The 22,897-nt window shown below is 33.2% G+C and overlaps 1 long non-coding RNA gene across 2 annotated transcripts in view; it reads right to left on the minus strand.

The window, feature by feature from the left end:
- LINC00613 (long intergenic non-protein coding RNA 613) overlaps positions 1–22,897 on the minus strand; it is a 46,698-nt gene that overhangs the window by 14,165 nt on the left and 9,636 nt on the right. Inside the window, exons 1-2 of one of the 2 annotated variants that reach the window (NR_103762.1) lie at positions 6,824–6,946; positions 4,270–4,365 (exon numbers count right to left, since the gene is read on the minus strand). The exons of the other annotated variant lie outside the window; for it this stretch is intronic. This is a non-coding gene — a long non-coding RNA (long intergenic non-protein coding RNA 613). Of the gene's footprint in view, positions 1–4,269; positions 4,366–6,823; positions 6,947–22,897 lie in introns of those variants that run through there. 2 annotated transcript variants of the gene reach the window in all.

Raw genomic sequence — 22,897 nt, forward strand, 5'->3', positions numbered from 1 at the left:
ACATCCTTCTCATGAGAGAATTTTACATCTTGGAGTGAAGCACCCACTGAGTTAGGCTCCTTCCTTCACAAAAAACTGGGATATAGAGGCATTATCTTTCTTGATGACTACATTTCAAAGAGAAGATTCCCAAGACCTGGAGAAAGATATTCTTGGGTTTTAAACCTGACAGGAAGCTTATTTAACTTTTAAAAAGATTTCCATACATTTCAAAAAGACAAAAAAAAAAAACTTAAAACTATAAGTAATATAAAATAAATGCTATAGGAAAGGGGGGAGTCTCTTCTCTTATTTTAAATATAAATAATTAAGCCTCTTATTTTTTTATTTGTTAGGTTTTATATTCCACATAGATTATGTATCTGTAGAGTGATTAAGTTTTCAATACATTCTACTAAATCATGCCATATGATAAAAAGCTAATTTTTAGGCCACTTTTCTCATAGGCAAATTTTTTTTGGAAATACATTATCTAATGTTACTAATAAGTACTATTCGTTATTAGTAACTACTAGCAACTTTAATAACTATTCAAAACTCAGTGACGGTGGGGGAAAGAGGTGTCATGCAGCATATCAGTGGATGTTGCTTTCAGTAGGCAAATGGAAGCATCATAATGAATCTGCCCTTTTATTATTAAATAACATGCTTTCCTCTGAGACCCTTTAGGCTATTATGCTATTTAAATGATCTGATTTCCTCATCATCTTCTTGGACACCTTGCAGTCTGTTTACGTATGTATATATGCATAAGCATTCAGTAATTACTAATGAAGTTCAGTATCTTTTCATTCATTTCCCAGAAAGGAGGAGGGGAGATTTACATTGAGCTGGACTTATCAAGCCCGAACATGATAGACATTCATACTATTTTTGAAGAGAATAGTTGTTTGCTTTAAATTTATAATTCAGTTACTTTCCAAAAGTTAAGCCTGCAGTGATGTAAGTTTACTATCATAATTAAATTGAATTCACTATGTGCTAAAAATTTTGGATTTTAATGAAAACTTCAGGAAGGTTATGATTCAGGACTTCAGCTTTAAAGGATATATTAGTTAAGTTTAAAGATTGAATGACATCTTCATCTATATGTGTTGTGTGTGTGTGAAATTAATGTCTGTGTATATACATATATAGGTAAAATTACCTATCTATAGGTTAAAAATTATATATATATGGCTAGTCTCTTATCCGTAGGTTATCAATGTCTCTTTAAAACTCACAGTTTATTCAATACAGAAGTTTATCACTTTACAAAAGAGACAATGTATTTGAGGCATTACTTTTTATGATTGTTGCTACGTCCTTCAAACTTTGAAACAGTAACTACTGTTGATTAAATTTCCTGATTTCTAATTTTAGATTACACATAGCGTTGAGATAAAAATCAGATAATTTGTAGCCCCATTGCCTAGAGTCCTAGTTCCAATAATTATTAGCTGTATGACCTTGCGCAAGTTAAGCTCTATGTCTCGGCTTCCTCATCTCTAAAATGAGTATAACAATCATAGTTTCCTCATAGGTAGTTGCAAGAGTTCAGTAAGTTACTACACATAAGAAGGGAAAGTGTAACTACTAAAGGGATTGTGGGGCATGATCCTAACCTCTATGTCTAAAGTTCTTTTCTCTCCTTTAAAAAAATAAAAATTAAAAATTAAAAAAGGCCAATCTTTGGTAATTGGTAATCACATGTTCTTTAATTTTAATTGGCTATGAATTAGAATTCTATTTTCTTCATCTCAAAGACAATACAAAACAAATATTTTTATTGCATATCATGGGTGAAAGTATCTCATAAATTGCAGATATATTGACGGCATATGACAACAATAACAAGATTGCACTAAGATATCAAAATGTAATTTCCTGTATTCTTGACTTAAAATTATAGTTTTAAAATATTTGATTACAGAACACTTTATTTATATGAATTCTTTTTTTTTTTTTTTTTTTTTTTTTTTTCTCGCTCTGTCGCCCAGGCTGGAGGGCAGTGGCGGGATCTCGGCTCACTGCAAGCTCCGCCTCCCGGGTTCACGCCATTCTCCTGCCTCAGCCTCCCAAGTAGCTGGGACTACAGGCGCCCGCCACTACGCCCGGCTAATTTTTTGTATTTTTAGTAGAGACGGGGTTTCACCGTTTTAGCCGGGATGGTCTCGATCTCCTGACCTCGTGATCCGCCCGCCTCGGCCTCCCAAAGTGCTGGGATTACAGGCGTGAGCCACCGCGCCCGGCCTTATTTATATGAATTCTTACTCATGCTCCCAATATTTAGGGGAGATAGAAGAGCCCATTCACCCCTTCCAGCCTGTCTTATACACCAACCAAGACTGCCTTTCATGAAGTGCGACAGAACTCACTGGTCTAGTAGAGTCTAAACTAGTGTTTTGGCCACCATCCAGTGCAATAGATCACAAAAGCGTATTCCTCCAGTCTAAATGAAACAATATACCTTTGACTAATATATCTTACTTTCCCATTCATATATGCAATTATTGTCAATTAAAATTAATTATTAATTATTAACACAATAAAAGTAAAATACACAAAAAAGTGTGATTTGTATAAAGTGAAATAATTACTTATTATTTATCAGTGTAGTCTCTTTTTGGTACTTACAGCTACCAAAAATGGCCGTTGCTTTTATAGTTATTTTAAGAGTACTATCAGTAAGATAAAAGAATCTTATTAATTAGAATAACAAAATGCGTAAGGTCAAGCAATCAGAGACACCATGTTTTGTTGGAATGCAGCAAAGCAGAGGGAGTGCACCATAAACTAAGAAATCAGAATTCTAAAGCTAGGATTTTACCAGGATTTGTTTTGTTATGTTAAACAAATGAAGCAAACTCCATCAATTCACTGACATTTGTTTTAAACAACAAACAGTTCCTGCTGCTTCTTAGATCTCAGCAAAAACTATTTTTAATGTAGTGTATCAGATCCCCAAAACAATTCTTAAAAATATATTTTTTAAAGGAAAAATACTGCAGATAGGCTCCGACTCACAGATTGCTGTGTTTGGTATTATTTTTCTGTACTACATCTAGTATTTACCTGGATCTCTGTTCAGAGTCCTGAGTATCTATTAAGTCAGCAAACTATGACCTTCCTCCTGCTCTCTTGTTTTTCTTGCCCGTTTGTATACCTATTTATGACTTTTATTCTAGTCCTCTCTCCTGTTTCAACCTAACACTAAAAACCATTAAAGCCCTCTGTTTTTAGGGGATACACTCTGTAATCCTCATTTCCTATTTTTTTTTATCACAACCCAATCCAATTAAATACAAGTCTCCCATGATGTATTCTGTCCACTTTGGAAATGTTGTGACTATGCCTCCCTCACTAGAACAAGTCTCTATTAGCTTAGGGGCTTTGGGCATAGCTGAAACCTAAGTTTGTCACACTCATTAAATATTATAATGTGAACTTCTAATGGGTAACTGCTATTGATTTCTCTATTTCTGCCTCTCTTATACCAGGTTTTCTCTTTCTATTATGACCTGCGTCCTTAAAGCCTCACCAGGCTTCACCATAATCTAAGGTTTAATATAAAATTGTCTAACATGAGTTTATTATGAAGATATATAAGACCATTTTGTTAATATTAAATGGTACATAATAACATTTCATTTGATTTTACATGAAATTTCTTAAAATAATACATTCAAATATGTTACACAAATGAAGAGAAACATAAAATCTATAGGATGTTTTTCTCATAAAAATCAGTAAAACAGTGATTTCTCATAAAACAGTGATTTCTCATAAAAATCAGTAAAACAGTGATGTTGACCATCTTGTAGCAGCAACAGACAAAATATCCATGTCATAATCAAAAATGTCCTATTCATATAACTTTCAAGTGACATTACACTTTTGGCAGAAGATAGAGTTTCGGGTAGAGCTTCAGGGTTTGAAAATAATGGCTAACCACTAGACAGATTAAGCATGTATACAGAATGGCAGACAATGGCTGAATTTCACACATCAGATGTTTTCAGTTGCACTATACACATGAGTGATTTTGCATCACATATACATAGATGGTAATTGTAATTTTCTAATACAAAGGACATAGGCATAAGCTAAACTCTCTTTTTTCCCTAGCATCTTGGGTAGAGATAGAAAATTTCTTAATATTAATGCTAATTTTAACAACTCCTAGCATTGTAAAATGATTTATATCACACAGTAGTAATAGCACAAAGAACAATGAACCAGAAAACAAATTGATCATGGTTTTGTTATTGTCTTTTAGGCCAAACTCACCTTCCCTTAAGCAATTGCTCAGTGCTCAGTGAACTGAGTTTAAAAATGCTCATCACCTTCTTTTTCCAATCTTGAAGGATCTGGAAGAGACAGCATCTTCAAGGATGAACAGGGTTTAATAGATTTTAAATTGTTCCCAGAATTCAAGAAACAGTTTTTCATTTGCTTTGCATGCTGTGACACCCAAGGCATTTATGGAATACATCCTGTGTGTGTGTGTGTGTGTGTGTGTGTGTGTGTGTGTGCGTGCGCGCGTGCACTCATGTGTCCACTGGGACGGGGAAAGGTATAATATGAAATATTTGGTAAGGCAAAATGATCAATCCAACAGCTCAGTTCATAGCTCAGTATGTGCCTTAGTGGCTTGGTTTGACATAGTATCTTTATACCAGTTAAATCCTGTAAGACAATCAATTTTAAAAAGTTATAACACAATGTAAATATAATTCAATAAATCTTGGTTTGTTAACATTCATTGACTATTCAATTACCTAAATAGTCTTTGGAGGATCTTTTTAGAATACTAGATTTTATCCTCCTTGTTCTTTTTGTTTTAACTGTTTCAGTTATTTAAGGACCCGTGATCTGAAAATAGATTATTTATTTATGAACAAATGAGACTTGGAGGATGAATTGGAATGTCAGAGGCATAAAAACATTAAATTGCCTAGGATTTTGTCCAGGTGTCTATTCACAGTATATAATCACTAAGCTTGGTAAATACAGAATGAAATAGCAGACGCTGTGAAGAGATTGCATCCCTTCTTGCTCTAAGCCTAAGATCACAACTAAACAAAAGATCTTGTATACCTCATAAATATTGTACCAAAACTTTCTTGACATGGCATTTTCAGAGGTTAGTTAGATACAGGATCTTGAGAAAGAAAGCAAAATTATGAATTTAGAAAACCTCAAAGTACAACAAAGCAAAACTTGGGAAAAATAAATAATCAAACAGCGATTTAGCTAGCAGAACAGTGTTAAACATATTGCAGATTTGCACATACATGTATAGATGTCTGAAATATCTTTGTGTCCAAGAAAAGAAATAACCAAGAGTAGGAATACTATTAGTAATAAAGAATACTAACTATTTCTTTTCTCACTGTCTGTCTGTGTGATCATGGGCAAATAACTTATTTGGACCTCATTTATTTTTACATGTGTTTTAAAACTTACAAAAATGAAAGAATAGTAATACTTGAAGTGAAATATTTCTAAGAACAGACTGCAAAACAGCATTTTTAAAATATATAATACTACCACACACAATTACAAATGTCAAAAATTAGATGGATTTTGGTCAAATATAAAATATTCAGCTAGTTATTGGTTCATACTAATAAAAGACAGCTCATGACAGAATTATCTTTTTTCTCATTTAGAATTAAATATCCACAGCTGTAGTTACACAAATGCACTAAACTTCTCTTTGCAGAGTTTGCATATTATTCAACAAATATTTTAATGGTTAACACCCCAACTTGGTCAAAATCAGAGAGAAAAAATGTTTAAGACAAATGATAGTGCCAGAAGCACATGCAACAGCTGACAAAAGAAAAATGATAACTGCCGTTCCTAATTGCCTGTTAAAAACCAGAAATGTTTAAGTTCATAAGTCAATTTTTCTTTGTGAAACATGGAGTCAACAGTTTGCAACATTAAATTTGGAATATTCTTGTTTGCATTAGTAATAGGGGAACATCCCTTTATTTGGAAAAAGGTTTAATGTATTTTATTTGGGGCCTGATTTATCAACAAGTCACAGAGTCATTTTACAGAATTGTGCTGAAATTAAATGAAATGCATTGAATGAGTACAGCAGAGCACTACATTTTGTGAGGTACAAATATAAAACATATTATACTAGACATATAAACATAACGATTCTGAGAAAATAATAATATGTGAACACATGTAACATAGTGTAGGAAAAGGAGCTGTTGATATTAAATTTAGTAGACAAAGAAGATAATATGGCATAATGGATTGGTTGAGAAAAGAACAGAATTGGTAAGAATTGAAACGTGATATTAAAAAGTAGAAAGTAGTGTAATTATGGTAGATTTTTTTCATATGAGAGTATTGGTTGGATAGCTTTTCATGAAAAATGTCTGTAAGAATATACATTAGATTTGGCAAATGTATTAGTTTTCTATAGCTGCAGTAACAGATTACCACAACTTGGATAGTTTACAAGAACAGAAATTTGGTCTCTGACAGTTCTGGAGACTAGAACTTCAAAATCATATTGTATTTAGTAGATAAAGAAGATAATATGGCAGAATGGATTGGTTGAGAAAAGAACAGAATTGGTAAGAATAGAAACATGATATTAAAAAGTAGAAAATAGTGTAATTATGGTAGATCTTTCATATGAGAGTATTGGTTAGATGGCTTTTCATGAAAAATATCTGTAAGAAAATACATTAGATTTGACAAATGTATTGATTTTCTATAGCTGCAGTAACAGTTTACCACAACTTGGATGGTTTAAAACAACAGAAATTTGTTCTCTCACAGTTCTGGAGACTAGAATTTCAAAATCACATACCAGCAAAATTGGTCCCTACAGAGCTCTGAAGGGGAGTCCGTCCCAAGCTTCTTTTTCTGCTTCTGAGAGTTACCAGTTACCCTTGGCCTTCTTTGGATTATAAATGCGTAAGTGCGAGCTCTGCCTACGTCCACATGCAGAAATCTTTGCTCTGTGTCTCTGTCTCTTCTCTTTTTATAACAATAGCAGTCATTAAGGGCTTACTCTATGCAATTATTGCTTCATCTTAACTAATTATATTTGCAATGACTCTGTCTCCAAATAAGGTCATATTCAGAGATTCTGGTGGTTAGGACTTTAAGTGTTGAGAAGGGAAATTTTTACCTATAACAGAAAGTAAATATTTTATATAATAGGGTTGTATAATATCAATATTAGCTTGAAGTTTACAGGAACTCATTAGATGTACAGATTAGGAGAAAAGCAATTTTGAAAGTGGAACTTTGGGATTATTTAATTGTTTGGAGAATTCTACAAAAATACAAATATGAGGTAATTAAAACATATATAGTAGAAATGGAAAGAACATATTAAACCAGTCTCTTGTTAAAGAATGATATACCCTAATAGTACTGCTGCAAAACAAATAAAAATACCAAGAAACTATAAAAAAAAGCATAACATAAAAACATAACTTTGCATCTATCAATGATATGAAAAATAATTTAAAAATTCTCAGAGGCCAAACGGAAAGTAAAAAGAGGCAAAGATTCTAAAACGGTCGTCAAATTCTATTGATTTTAACCTTCAATTTTTGCTACCGTGTAGCAGAAGACAAAGTGTAGAAACTGACTTTATGGGAAATCTGATAGAAGACTCAAAAAACAAAGCTGACACCTGTAAAGACTATTCTCTTAGTATGACTGTGAACTAAAGAATAATAGCAAAATAATAATAGCAAAATTTGATGTGCAAATGTGACTTAAATTATTGATTTTATTTCTTTTCTAAAAACAATATTAAGGCTATGTAATAAATTTAAATCTTTTAAATTATGCATGTTGAAATGCTGATGGTAAACACTTTAAACAAAACAAAAATAGTGTATTTAATTTCTAAATTAGAGGAAGAAAGTAGAAAAAGAAAGCAAAATAATATCAAACAAACCAAAGTTATTACAATGGAAAGAAAAATAATAACATAAAGCAAAATAAAATTTTGAGCCAAAGAAAGTTGTAGAATACATACATTGTGATTTAATTTATATACAATTCCAACTACAAAGCCAAGTAAGATAAAAAGGAATGCACATATATATTCCAACACCACATAAAAAAGAAAGGGAGTGATTAACATAGAATTGGGGTAATACTTCTCTCCTGAACAGAGAAAGGGAAAAAGAATTGGAAAGGAGGCATACAGGGGATCTAATATTGAAAATTAGGAATTTGTATTACCCGCATTTCAAAGAAGATATACAGTTATGTGTTTTATTATTTGTATTTAAAATTAACAAAAATAATTTGTGCATATTCAAAAATTAATAAAATATTTTAAAAGAGAATAAAAAGATTGTAAAATTATACTAAATTTAGAGAGATACCTTTGCCAAAAGTGGAAATTTGTTACAGGATTTGTTCGTATACTAACATTCTCAAACGGCGATTTTTGTCCTTCAATGTCACTTTCTGGTTGTTATGATTGTTTCTAGACAGAAAGTTGAGGTTTGATGCAGCAAGCTTGTCCTCCTCTAAAATTGCTTTGCACAGTCTACCAAGAAATCTAATTTTCAGGTGTAGTGAACTCATCATAGAAGCATATATGTATGCATATATAATCAAATATATAAATATATATTTCCAATCAAATTAGACAAAGACACTGTCTTTAATGATACCATTATTTAGTATGCTTTATGGTTCTTAGAAATTATAGATTTGTCCCCTTAATCTTTGGTAGAGTCAAAAGTAATGTCTTATTAGTGTCTCTTGAAAACTAGTAAGAGACATTGCCATTGTTCTTAATCTTTTATATGTTTCACTTAATCTCATTCAATATTATAACTTTATTCAGCTCTTGTAAAATTTAATATAGTTGAAATGAAGGAGATATATACTGAAAGATACATTTTTAGAAGGAATTATGGAAATATGTATATATGTTCTATTCACTGATAAATACATATTAATATTAAACATATATAAAAATAAAACTACATAAAATAAAGAAACATATTCACTATGAAGTGAATTGAATTACTGCAACTAATACTCAGTTTGATTGACTTGCCTAGAGTAAAAATCTATAGTAAAAAAAAGAAATCTGACAGAACAATTACACAGCTCAATATCAAAGAGAGGAATTTCAATTATTCAAGAATGAACTTTTATTTTTATGGTCCTTTAAAATTTCTTTATACAAACATTTAACAATACAATCTTTAAATCTATGGATAAATATGTAAATAAGATACTATCATATGTGCTTTTTTTAGTAGTTTTTTTCCTTTTACTTTCCTTTTTAAAATTTGTGTAAGTAGCCTCTTCTCTTACTTTTCATAAAACTGCTACCAGTTGTTAATCCACGTTAGTTCACTAAGATACCTTCTTGTATTTGCCCTTAATTTGTATATCTGAAAACACAGGAAGAATTAAGATCAATTATGACTGTGCAAAAATTGGGTCATCTTACTCATAATTAACTTAATCACAGAAATCTCTCTAAATCAACTGGTATATATCTACCATTGTTGGTTTTGACATTTAAAAAAAAAACTGTCTTTAATGATGGGCGTTTCTTTGCTTCTTTGTCTCACAGTGTATCTTTTTGGGGTGATCGTGTGTGTTTGTGTGTGCGTTTAAATGAATAAATATATATTTGTTAATATATAGGTACTTTGCATTTTTGAAAGTGATCATCTGTTGTTTAATTGTGGGATCAGAGTTTGTGCTACTTAACCTTGATTTTAGTAAGTTGCTAGTTTTCAAATGACTGTAATATTTAAAGTATATGAATACTCCTTAATCCACCATATACAGGTATTTCTAATTTGGAAAATTCTGGTTGTATATTATGACAGGCCCGATATGTCACTAATGTTCGTGTTGAGAATTTCACTATTGGTTAAATAACTAATCTACTTCTCACTGAGATAATACCAACTTCATAATGCAATATTTTCACACATTTTAAGTTCTATTCATATTTTTGTGTAGTTTATTTTGTTCTTTTGATCTGCATACCTTTTCCTATGCAGTTTCCATGTCAACTTGTTTTCAGAGGCTTTATGATTTATTCTCTCAATTCATACACAGTAAGTTTTTAAATATTCTCGCCAGTTGTTCTGTATTCTAGCACAGCTGTTATGCCCTTTGATTTTAAGATCATTTTATTAAATTTCAAAAGCAACAACTAAGACGGTGCTGAATCTAAAAGTAAAACTTTAATAATGGAGCTTACTTAAGAAATGCCACTATAATGGAGATTATTCATAAAAAGTTACCATAGATGCATAAATAATATTCAGTTATGTCATGTGCTAAAACATCATTAATTGTCATTCTTTGATTAAAGCTCATATATTTTATATAGCTGTTAGTCAAAATGTTAGTAATAAACACAGATGACTTCGAAATATATTTCTAATTATCTCTCAAGTGAGATTTAGATAGAATTGATAATTGGATAATGAAAAAATATGCTGTCTGACAGAGATTGGTACTCTATAATTCTCTATAGGTGATTGAAGAAGGATATACTTGTATTTGAAACAAGAACATTACACGGTATAATTGAAATTGTCAATATTTTTTTCATAAAGAAGTACATATTTCAAAGTTTAGTCATAGAAAATATATGAAATAATATAATTAATAGTGATTTGAAAGAGAACACAAAAATGAAAAAAATATGTATAAAAATGTTATAGTCATTGGTGGTTCCTGGAATATGTTAAGTTTACTCGTTGAAGGAATAGAATTATACTAAGGGAGTTAAGCTGAATGGGCATGTTCTCTTATTTTTGTGGGAGTGCTGGTGAGATGGTTTGTTGCTACATTTCTTTTTGTCTTCCATCTTCATTAATTTTCTGCTGTACTTTATTCTATTTCTTTGCTTTCCCAGAAAGTCAACAAGATTATTGAGTCAATGCTCATGTTAAAAAATATGTATGGTTATTTAATAATATGATTTCTAATTATGATGCTTCTGTCATCTTTTATTATGCATGACTTAAAACTTTTTTATAATGAACATGCATATTTTCAGTGCATTTAAACCAATATTCTAAAAGTAATTTAGTCACTAAAAATATTTGATCGAACAAAAAAAAACAAAATATCTAAATCGATTGTTTAAAAAATTGCTACAAACAAAGCCATTCTTTATTTCTGGATTTTAGGATTCATTTCTTAGAGTGCCTTGATGTTATGTTTAATAAATAGTTACTCGCCATAACCTAATAGCATTCTATTTATATGATAGTTATTCTATATACTAATGATTTATTCTGTATTGCATAAGTACATCTTGACTGTCAATTTTCTTCCTATGTCTGTCTTGCTGTGCCTCCCTTGTGGTCCCTCAGAGTAGTTTTGTCCATGATTCTGTCCTTGGACTTCTTCTCTTTCAGCTCTTAAATTTTTCAGCTCATTTGAAAATGACCTTAAATATCACCAAATACCACCTACAAGCTCATCACTGCAGTAGTCCCCCATTATGCATGGTGTTACCACCATGGTTTCAATTATGTGTGGTCAACCGAGGTCAGAAAATCAGTAATTACAGTACAATAAGATATTTTTAGAGAGACCAGATGCACGTAACTTTTGTGACAGTGTATTGTTACAAGTGCTCTACTTTATTAGTAGTAATTGTTGCTAATCTCTTATTGTGCCTAATTTGTATATTAAACTTATCATAGGTATGTAAGTATAGGAGAAACTTGGTAATTATAAAGTTTGGTACTTTCTGTGGTTTCAGGCATCCAACCAGATCTTAGAACACATTCCCTGCAGATAAAGGGGCATACAGCTGTACTTAAGGAGTAATTTCTAGCCAAGAATCTCTCTTCAAGTCACAAATGACCATCAGAAAGGTCCATCAAACGTAAAGATAAAAATTAAATATAATCATCATTTTTACCCTGATACTTCTCCCAGTATGAATGCAAATCAGGTCCACAAAATATTCTTTCTTCTCTAACACTTTTCCCTCTGAAGAGTACTATCCTCCAAATCATTCGAGTCATAAAACTAGCGCCTTCCTATTTTAATTATTCTCCTAACTTCAATCTCCATCCGTCATTAAATTCTATAGATCTTATCTTCTTTATACTTCCCATATCTAGTCTGCCTGTATCCAGTACTCCTATATTATTCAGACAGGTATTTAGTCCTGAGTTATTATCTTCTAAGTATTCTGCATGCCTGCATTCCCACATCACTCACAAACCTTTTATACCTGTTCCAGAGTAATTTTCTTCCAACATAGGCATGATTATACTACATCCATGCTTGAAACTTTTTCATGGGCGTTGAGCTAATTTACACCCCTAACAGTGTTTAAGCATTTCCTTTTCTCCACTGCCTTTCCAACATCTGCTATTTTTTGACTTTTTAATAGTAACTGTGCTGACTGATATGAGATGGTATTTAATTGTGGTTTTAATTTGCATTTCTCTGATGATTAGTGCTGTTGAGCACTTTTTTCATATGTTCGTTGGCTGCTTGTATGTCTTCTTTTGAGAAATGTCTGTTCATATCTTTTGCCCATGGAAAATATTATGGGTCTTTGTCAAAGAACTAAAAATTGATTTACCATTTGACCCAGCAATCCCACTACTGGGTTTCTGCCCAGAGGAAATCGTTATATCAAAAAGACTCATATGTTTACCACAGCACTATTCACAATAGTGAAGTCATGGAATCAACCTAAGCATCCATCAATTGTGCATTGGATTAAGAAAACGTGTTATTTATACACAATTGAATACTACACAGCCATGAAAAATAATGAAATCAGGTCCTCTGTGCCAATATGGATGGACCTTGAGATTATTATCTTAAGTGAATTAATACAGAAACAGATAATTATATACTGCATGTTATTACTTATAAATGGGATCTAAACAATGGGTACACATGTGCATGAGGACAGAAACTATAGACACTAGGGGACTCCAAAGGGAAAATGGAGAGAGACGAGTAAGAGTTGAAAAACTTCCTATTGAGTACTATATCCACTATTTTGGTGATTACTTCACTAGAATCTCAAACCCCAGCAAAATGCTTAAAAATCTGATATGTACTCCAAAATGTAATTAAATTTTTTTTCATAGCTTCTTCACGTTCTAAATCAGGAACTAGTAAACTATGGTGCATGGGCCAAATCTGGCTTCCAGCAGTTTTTGCAAAGTTTTCCTGGAACCAGCCATGCCCATTCATTTATAATTGTATGTAGCTGCTTTGGTCTATAATGGCAGAGTTGAGTAGCTATGATAGGGACCATGTGGTCTACAAAGCTTAAATATCTGGAACTTTACAGAAAGTTTTGATACCCTGCTTGAAATCCTAAACTCTTAATGTTTGACATCTCCTCCGTATAAATCTGAGTTATTTTCAATACCTTATGCTATAGCTATCAGAATACACACTGATAATAAATATGTATCAGAACATACACTGATATCACCTGAGGTCAGAAGTCGGAGACCAGCCTGGCCAACATGGCAAAACCCCGTCTCTACTAAAAATACAAAAATTAGCTAGCGTAGTGGCAGGCGCGTGTAATCGCAGCTACTCAGGAGGCTGAGGCAGGAGAATCGCTTGAACCTGGGAGGTGGAGGTTGCAGTGAGCCGAGATCTTGCCACTGCACTCCAGCCTGAACGACACAGCAAAACTCTGTCAAAAAAAAAAAAAAAAAAATTCTACACTTTTCATGTTGCATCCTAAATCCTCAACTTCTTGATCATTGGGTAATCTTTTAAGATTCAGAACAATTTTTCACCTTATCGTTGAAACCTAACCCCAGGGGAAACTAAATTAATTTCTCCTTGCCTTATGCCCTCTTTTCCTCTCTATGCCCTGCACAAGGTTATTTCCCACACATAAAGGGTTCTCCCCTACTTAATTCACGTGGTTCTGTCTTAGCCTCTCTACTACCCTGTGCAGAAGCAGGGGGCATGTTTTATACTTTTTTATTATTCCCAACATATAACCCAGTGCCTATCGTAAAGTTAGCACTCAACACATAGTTGCAGCATGCATGTATACATAAGTGAATATCTATATATATTTTGGGAAAAATATTTTTTAAGAACAACGGTAATTAGTATCTATGTTATTGGAAAATTGTTGCTCCCTATCTTTCTTTCCCCATACAAACTTTTCTTCTTAAAGGAGAAGACTACAGTCCTGAATCAATTTACTTTCAAGTTCCATTTGATCCCATACTATTTATCTTTGACACTGTTTCCTTCTTTCATACTAATAGGTTACATTGGCTTATAGGAATAAAACTGCATTCCTCTCATTTATTTTTAAAAATATTTTTCTTTCTTTTGAAGTTGATTTCTATTCATTTTTTATTGGACTTAACTTATTCAAGTCTTAACTCATTCCAAGAACTTAACATTATTCAAGCTTTATTATAGCCCTGGCACTCCTGTTTCTAAGAGAACACATTAATGATTTGCTACTAAGAACAAAAGAACAACAAATCTGTAGACATTAATAGTTGTAGAACAATACTTTAATAGTTCACAATTAATTTTGTCTTCATTGTATATGTCTCTGTGGGAAATATAGAAAGATGCCCTAATACATATTCAGTTCACAACTTTTTCTTCCCAGTGTTGTTGGTTAGGTATTTTTTTTCTTAACGATAAAATGAGAAAAGATAGGTTGAGGATAAAAGTAAAGTTATTGTTTAAAACAATAAAATTTTAATGGAATACTGTACAAGCAAAAGGATAAGATCACACATCTGCTCCACTTGCCACTTCTATTATTTATGTAAATTAAACAGGATTTCTTCTATCCCTCACTAAAAATAATCATGGGTGAATGCAAATTTAGGCATACTTATGAACACAGTTTAATTCCCTGTATCCAATTTTGGAAAGAAAAAAGTAACATATACATTAATCAAACTGTTTCATATTCTTAATAGGTAGGTAGATAGACAAATGCATATTATTTCTTTAAGAATATTTTCCCATATTACAGTCATGATTGCATCTGAAGAATCAGACACTATATTTTGGAGAATTATTCAAAGATAAATATTGCAATTAGTTCAAAGATAAAATAATTCTTCAGATTGTACCTGAAGAATCAGACACTATATTTTGGAGAATTAGTTCAAAAATAAATAATGCAATTTATAGGTGGTAAAATATGTACTTAAGGAACCAGTACAGTACAGATGCCAGTTTATCCTGGACTTTACATGCATGTGCACATACACATTTTCAGCAAAATGTTTACAATAAGGTAGACCGGTGTGTATTTTATAGTAATTTATTATAGGTTGGTGAAAAGTAACTGTGGTTCTTGACATTAAAAGTAATTGCAAAAACCACAATTACCTTTGCATCAACCAAATAGATAGGAAATTAGAAAATACAAGGCTAAACAAGGTTGATCTGGTTTTTAAGCTATTATGCTAAATATCAAATAGTTAAATTCTGCATAACATATAATTAAACAGAGTAAATTATATTGTATTGGTTTTAAAATGCTTCACTGCTGTGTACAAAAGCCTTCATTTTAAGGTAGGCATAAATTGTGGCATCAACAAATGTTTATATTATTCACAGTAAAAATTTAACATTAATTAAATAAGAAAATAGGCCAGGCACAATGACTCATGACTGTAATCCTAGCACTTTGAGAAGCCAAGGTGGGATGATCGCTTGAGCACAGGAGTTCAAGACCAGCCTGGGAAAGGTGGTGAGACCCTGTTTCTACAAAAGTGAAAAAATTAGCCAGGTGTGGTGGTGCATGCCTGTGGTCCCAGCTACTCAGGAGGCTGAAATGGGAGAATTGTTTGAGCCCGGGAGTTTGAGGCTGAAGTGAGCCTGAGCAACAGAGGATCATCCTGTCTCTACTTTTTTTAAAAAAGAAAATTGTAATGAAGAAAGTGCAAGTTTACATTTATGCACTGTCTAATAACAGAAAATTATTTTAAATGTCCTATTACATGGACCTTAATTATATTTAATTATTTGAGACACTAAATTTCACTATGCGTACACATATGCACATGCACACATGACTAACCTTATAACTCTAAGTATACAGGCAAATCAAGTCAGTTTGTTTTAGCTACCTTATTCACAGCAATAAAGCAAAGTGACTAGAGCTATGCATTCACAATTCCTATTTTCATCAACGCATTAGCAATTCCTGTTTGCATTGAAAAGTATTTATCAAAGTAAATTTTTAAAAATATTTCTGGTATTCATTAATTCTGTTACGTATACTGTTTTATATACAGTCAAGCCATACATCCATCCAGCAATCTATATCTATAGCTATATATATCCTACATACCATGTCACGGGTGCTTTTATACTCTCATAAAGGTTAGAATAGATCAGTGAATAAAAACAGGCAAACACATTATTCTCATTGAGCACACTCTTCAGTGAGTGGAGGCAGACTCTAGACAAGATAAATAAGTAAAATATATAGTACATTACATGGATATTAATGTTATGAAAAAATTTGTGTTACAAATGGAAGTTGGAGGTGATAGTAGGGCCTTCTTAAGAAGGCCCTTAAGAAGGTAGGGTCTTCTTAAAAAAGACCCCAAGGACACAAAGAATAAATGTGGAGATTTCTGATGTAAGAATGTTCCTGTCAGAAGGACCAGCACACATTGCTCACTACAAGAGTGGCTACAGGAATAGCAAATAGGCATGCATAACAGAAGTGGAGTGGAATGAGTGAAGTAAAGGAGAGAAGGTAAGGGAGGTGGTTAGGGCAGAAAACTGGGCAAGAAACTCTAAGATTTGATTCTGAATTGTTCTTTTGTAGAGGTTGAAATAAACTTTATTTTTATAGCAATAAGATATAATTTATATTTTAAATAAAATTCTGCGTTTTTTTTTTTTTTTTTTTTTTTTTGTAGAAACTCTCTCTACTGCAGTTCTACATCACTTAGTATTTTGGTCCTGTCTTCCATTTACGCTAGTGAAGTGGTGTGTTATTTGCTGGTTTTCTTCCTTTCAGTGGGGAAACTAACTAATATGTATGTTTTCAGAGACTGTATTCCACAATAAATATCGTTTTGGGAGATTTTGAGGAAGGAAGTGCCATCCTCACTGTAAGGAGTGAGTTCTTAGCCTGTTAGTTCCTGGGAGAGCTGATTATTTAAAAAACTCTGGTACCTCCTTTCTCTCTGTCTCACTTTCTTCTTCTCTTGCTATGTGAACCCTGCTCCCCTTTGCCTTCCACCATGAGTGGGGAGCTTTCTGAAGCCCTCACCAGAATCAGATGCTGACACCATGCTTCTCGTACGATCTGCAGCACTGGTAACAAAACAAAGTTCTTTTCTTTATAAATTACCTACCCTCAGTGTTTTATTTATAGCAACACAAATAGGCTAAAATAACAAATTGGTACTGATGAATGGGGCATTGCTATCCCTAGCATCAGTGTCAAATCCAGAAAAATGTATTTCCTAAAAATATCAGATAGATACCAGAAAATGTATAAAGACATTTGGAATTAAGTAATGGACAGAAGTTGGAAGAATTCAGAAGGCTCAGAAGAAGATAGGAAGACAAGGGAAAGTTTGGAATTTTTTGAGGCTGGTTAAGTGGTTGTGACCAAAATGCTGATAGATATATAGATAGTAAAAGCCACGCTGATGAGGTCTCAAATGGAAATGAGAAATGTACAGGGAACTGAAAAAAAGAAGTCATTCTTGTTCTGCCCCAGCAAAGAACGTGGCTGCTTTGTGTACATGTCCTAAGGCTTTGTGAAAGGCCAAACTTAAGAATGATGATTTAGGTTATCTGGTGGAAGAAATTTCTAAATGCTAAAGCATACAAAATGTGGCCTGGCTACTTCTAACAATCTATGACCAGACATGGGAGCAAAGGAATGATATAAAGTTGGATCTTGTAACTAAAAAGAAAACAGAGTGTATAAATCAGGGAAATTTGAAACCTGGTCATGTGGTAAAGAAGGAAAAAGCATTTTCAGGACAGGAATCCAAGGGGACTGGGAAGTAACAACTTGCTAGAGAAATCATTATGACTAAAAGCAAGTCAGGTGCTAATAGTCAAGGTAATGGGGAAAAATCCCTGAGGGCACATCAGAAATGTTTAAGGGAGCCCCTCTCAACACAGAGCAGAGGCCCAGAAGAATAGAATGGTCTGGGGAGGAGGCAAGCCCAGGTTGCCTGTGCTAACTCAGAGTGCTGCTCCCCACCAAACCCCTGACCAGGCTGCTCTGGATCTAGGCTCAGCTCAAAGGGTCCTAGGTACTGCTTGGATAATTACTTTGTGGGGGCACACGCCATAAGCCTTGGCAGCTCCCATGTGGGATTAAGTTTTAGGTGCCTAGAATGCAAGAATGGTAGAAGCTTGGCCATTTCCAAGGTTTCAGAGGATATACGGAAAAACATGGGTGCCCAGACAGAAGCCTGCCGTAGGGACAGAGCTTCTGCAGAGAGGCTTTACTAAGGCAGTACTGAGGTGAAATGTGGGGTTGGTGGCTCCACAAACAGTTCCCACTGGGAGACTGCCTAAAAGAGTTGTGAGAATGGAGCCACATCCCTCCAGACCCCAGCAAGTTAGAGCCTCGAGCAGCATGCACACCTGTAGCCTGGAAAAGCTGCAGGCAATTGCCTCAAACCCTAAGAATAGCCACACGGCCTACACGCAGCAGAGCTGGGGAGACAGAATTGCCTGAGGCCTTGGAGCCCACCTGTTACACCAGTGTGCCTAGGATGCCTGACATGGAGTCAAGGAAAATCATTTTGGAGCTTATATTTAATGTCTGCCCTGCTAGGTTGTGCATGTGGCCTGTTACCCTTTTTATTTGTTTGATTTCTCCCTTTTGAATGGGAATGTTTACCCTCTGCCTCTACCACCATTGTATGTTGGAAGTAAATAACTTGTTTTTGAACTTATAGGCACAGAGCTGGAAGGAACTTGCCTTGACTCTCAAGGCTTTTGACTTTGGATCTTTGAGTTGGTGCTGAAATAAGACTTTTGGGGACGATTGAGGAAGAGTGATTGTATTTTGCAATGTGAGAAGGATACAAGCTTTTGGGGTGAAATGATATAGTTTGGATGTGTGTCTCCTCAAATCCTCATGTAGAAATTGGATCACAAAGATTGGAGGTAGGTTCTGATGGGAGGTGTTTGGGTCCTCAGGGTGGATCCCTCATGAATAGCCTTGTGTCATCTCTATAATAAGTTCTCACTCTATTTATTCCTGCAAGAACTGATTATTAAAAAGACCCTGGCACCTCCCTTCTGTCTCTTGCTTCATTCTGCTCTCACTATGTGATGTCAGCTCCTCTTCACCTTCCATCATGAGTGGAAGCTTCCTGAGGTCCTCACCAGAAACAGAAGACAGTGCCGTGCTTCTTGTACAACCGGAAAAACCATAAGCCGAATAAGTCTCTTTTCTTTATATGTTACGCAGCCTCAGGTTTTCCTTTAGAGCAATGCAGACTGCTACAAATTTACACCCACCATCTCTTTTTAACTGCTGGCCCTGTGGACTCCTAAGCCCAGCATCAGACACACACACACAAAAACAGACTTACCAACCTCCACAAATGCTTATGGCCTAAGCCTTGACTGAAAACCTAAGCAAATATTCAAATTCATAAAATGACAGATATGGATAAATTGAAATATAATTAATTTACTTTGAAAAGTGAATAAATGATTGATATTTTCCCCAAGTGCAATTGGTTAAACTTTCAAAAAACAGAAGCATACTATGCACAAATGTTCCCAGGGCAGAGAGAAAATATTATTTTATATCAGCATATTAAAATGCCAGTATATTATCTACTAAAATACTGAAATATTTCCATGTCCACTCATAAAAATAATATTACATTTATTAATTACCTCCACATGGTTATAGAAATCAGACATACATTGCCATTTCAAGAAATACATTTTTCTGGATTTGACACTGAAGCTAGGGATTCTACTGCAGCTATTTTATTTGCTTCAGTTTTCTGGCATTGCCACTAGATTTAGTCTTCCAGAGGAAAGGGAAACTTCCAAGTTAAGTTAAAAGGAATATGTTGTGTAAATCTTTGAGAGAAATGCCTAAGGGGAAAGCTTGACTTAGTTCAGATTGCCTCTGCAGAATGTGTTGGGGTCTATGGTGACAGACAAATGTTTTCATGATAGCCTACTCCCAATGGTTTGTGATATTTGAAAAAAAAAATCCCCTAAGTATAGGCAGTGCTTTCTATCCATTTTCAAAAGTTATCACGAACAAGCATCAACTTGAGACCTTGTTTACAAACCTCTGCAAGTAACAGTGGATCCACCCCTTCCATCCTCTTATCACAGGTACCATAGTTGCATTTGTGTACACATATAACTTGTATAATCACATTATCTTATGTATATGTATATATATATCCAAATATACATTTGTCAAAGTAATTAATAGACAAAAATCTGAAAACTTCACATGCAGAAACATAAAAATTTAGTGAAATTTATGTCTATAAAATAACATAGTTAAGTATTTGGGAGGTATAGCTTTCTAAATATCTATTTATCTGTTTATACCTATCCATTTACCATTTATCCTTCTATCAATTTATTCATCCACCTATTTCTCCTTTTATGTACTTATCTATCATTTTAGCTGTTTTGCTGCATTATAATAGCTTAAACAGAAAATCACGGAAGACATTCATTGGCTTTCCTGCCATTATTTACTATTTGTTCAAATGTTTATTCTTTCAATAATGAGTTATGCAGAAGAGAAGTTAAAAAATAAAAAAATGGACTGCAAATAGAAAGTAAACATTTAGCTATTTTTAAATGAAATTTTGTGACAAATGATAGATTCACAATAGAGTAAATCATTCAGTGACTAGAATATTTATCTTAAATTATACCATTATTTTTCATATTTATGGCTATTGTTAGCAAAATCGTTTTGGTCTGAATCATCATAAAGTGATTTACTTTATGCCATCTTTGCCCCAAGCCCTAAGGAGTAATGATATCTTTTAAATAAGCAAGAACTACAATAATTCTTAAAAGCAATATACAATGTTTCTCTTGAAACAGATAGAGTAGAATTAAAATTCTACATGGGTTTTTGCCCAAGTTTGTCATTTATATAAATTTTTAGCTCTTCTACTATTATTACTATAAATTTGTCTATAAGAAAGCACACTTTAAAATCCCACAGAAGCCATTGAAACAAGAGGCATTAAATCTGTACTTCATAATTCATGTATGTAGTAATGTTATCAGTAAACATACTGTGTTTAACGAAGACACGTAGCTAACTCTATCATAAACCTATGTCGTTGTGAAATAACTACCAGCCATTTGGACAGTTATGAGTCTTGTTTAGAACATAAATGTAAAGAACAGATACATTTACCAAATAAAAATAAAATCTCTGCTTTGGATCAAGTGAAGGTTAATTAATCTAAGATTCTAATTCAATCCAATAGTTAATATGCAACAAAATTTTTACCTCATCTCTCTCAAAACGTATTATATTTTTATATGTGAATAGTTAATGAAATTCCACTTCTCATTATTAAAGAAACTTGGAAAAATTATTGCATTTTAAATGCACTGTGAAATGCAATCACATTTAACCTTCATTTAAAAGTGTAAATATATAATTTCCTGTTAATATAGAACAGAAGAACTCTGAAAAATTAATCAAAACATTCTGACTTAATTTCTTAGGGCATCAACACAAATTAACATAAAATATTTGCTCAATAATTCCGTAAGGCAAATAATAACAAAGCTCCTAGTAGAAATAAGCAGAAGAGGATGAGAAACAGTAGCATATAATTTTAGGATACACTGTATTACAACAGTGATGTGAAAGTTTATAATTGATTAATGGACATTGTACCATAGACCAAATCCTTTAAGCTCTTATTTATTCTGTTACCATACTCTGGTTTATAAGCTGGAATATTTAAACACTATTTCAATTTTAGAGGAAAATAGTGGCTAGCTAATAATCAATTATACATTTTGTTTTGCATTATATTTTTTGACCAGGGATGTGGTCTTTGATGACATATATTTGAGGTTCCTGTGGCAGAGACTCTGTGGTATTTCCCTGCATGCTGTTTGTCAGTCCAGGTAGTCTATTAAAACAGTTGATTTCTTCTTTGCTTAACAGCAACAAAAAAGGCTCTTTTAAAGATTAATTTTATAATGTCATGAAAAATATTTTTAAAATATACTATTTGTAATATCAATATAGTTGCTTAGAGATTAATGTACTTGTCATTGAAACAGCCTGGAATATTTTTATTAATTTTCCAATGCTCTAAAAAGATATTATAGAAATGTTTTCTTTGTAGCATGTCTAATGTTTCGGAACAGTTATTGGATTACTTTAGAAAGCTATTTGTTAATGCTAAGAAAGAGAAGCATTTTGATTAGATATGTTGAAGCTTGTTTGGAAAGACAAGTGATAAGGCAATAATTTCATTTTATTGTTACTCTTTCTTTTGAAATGTTTTGAATTTATAAGAGCATAACAAAATAACGCAGATTTTTTTTCATGAAATTAAGTGTTCTTTACTGCTGCCTTCGTGAGGTGGAGGTGTAACAAATCTATTCTTTTCTTAGAATAAACATATATAGGCCAGGCATGGTGGCTCACACCTGTAATCCCAGCACTTTGGGAGGCTGAGGCGGGCGGATCATGAGGTCAGGAGTTTGAGACCAGCCTGACCAATATGATGAAACCCCGTCTCTACTACAAATACAAAAATTAGCCGGGCATGGTGGCAGGCACCTGGAATCCCAGCTAGTAGAATTAGCAAATATGGAATCTGCAAATAATGAGGATTGACAATACAATATTAGAACATCATAAATAATGGAGGTTTCGCTTCTTTTGAAAGCAGAGTACAACGAGGGA

Source organism: Homo sapiens, chromosome 4, assembly GCF_000001405.40.
Source record: "Homo sapiens chromosome 4, GRCh38.p14 Primary Assembly".
Taxonomy (NCBI): Eukaryota; Metazoa; Chordata; class Mammalia; order Primates; family Hominidae; genus Homo; species Homo sapiens.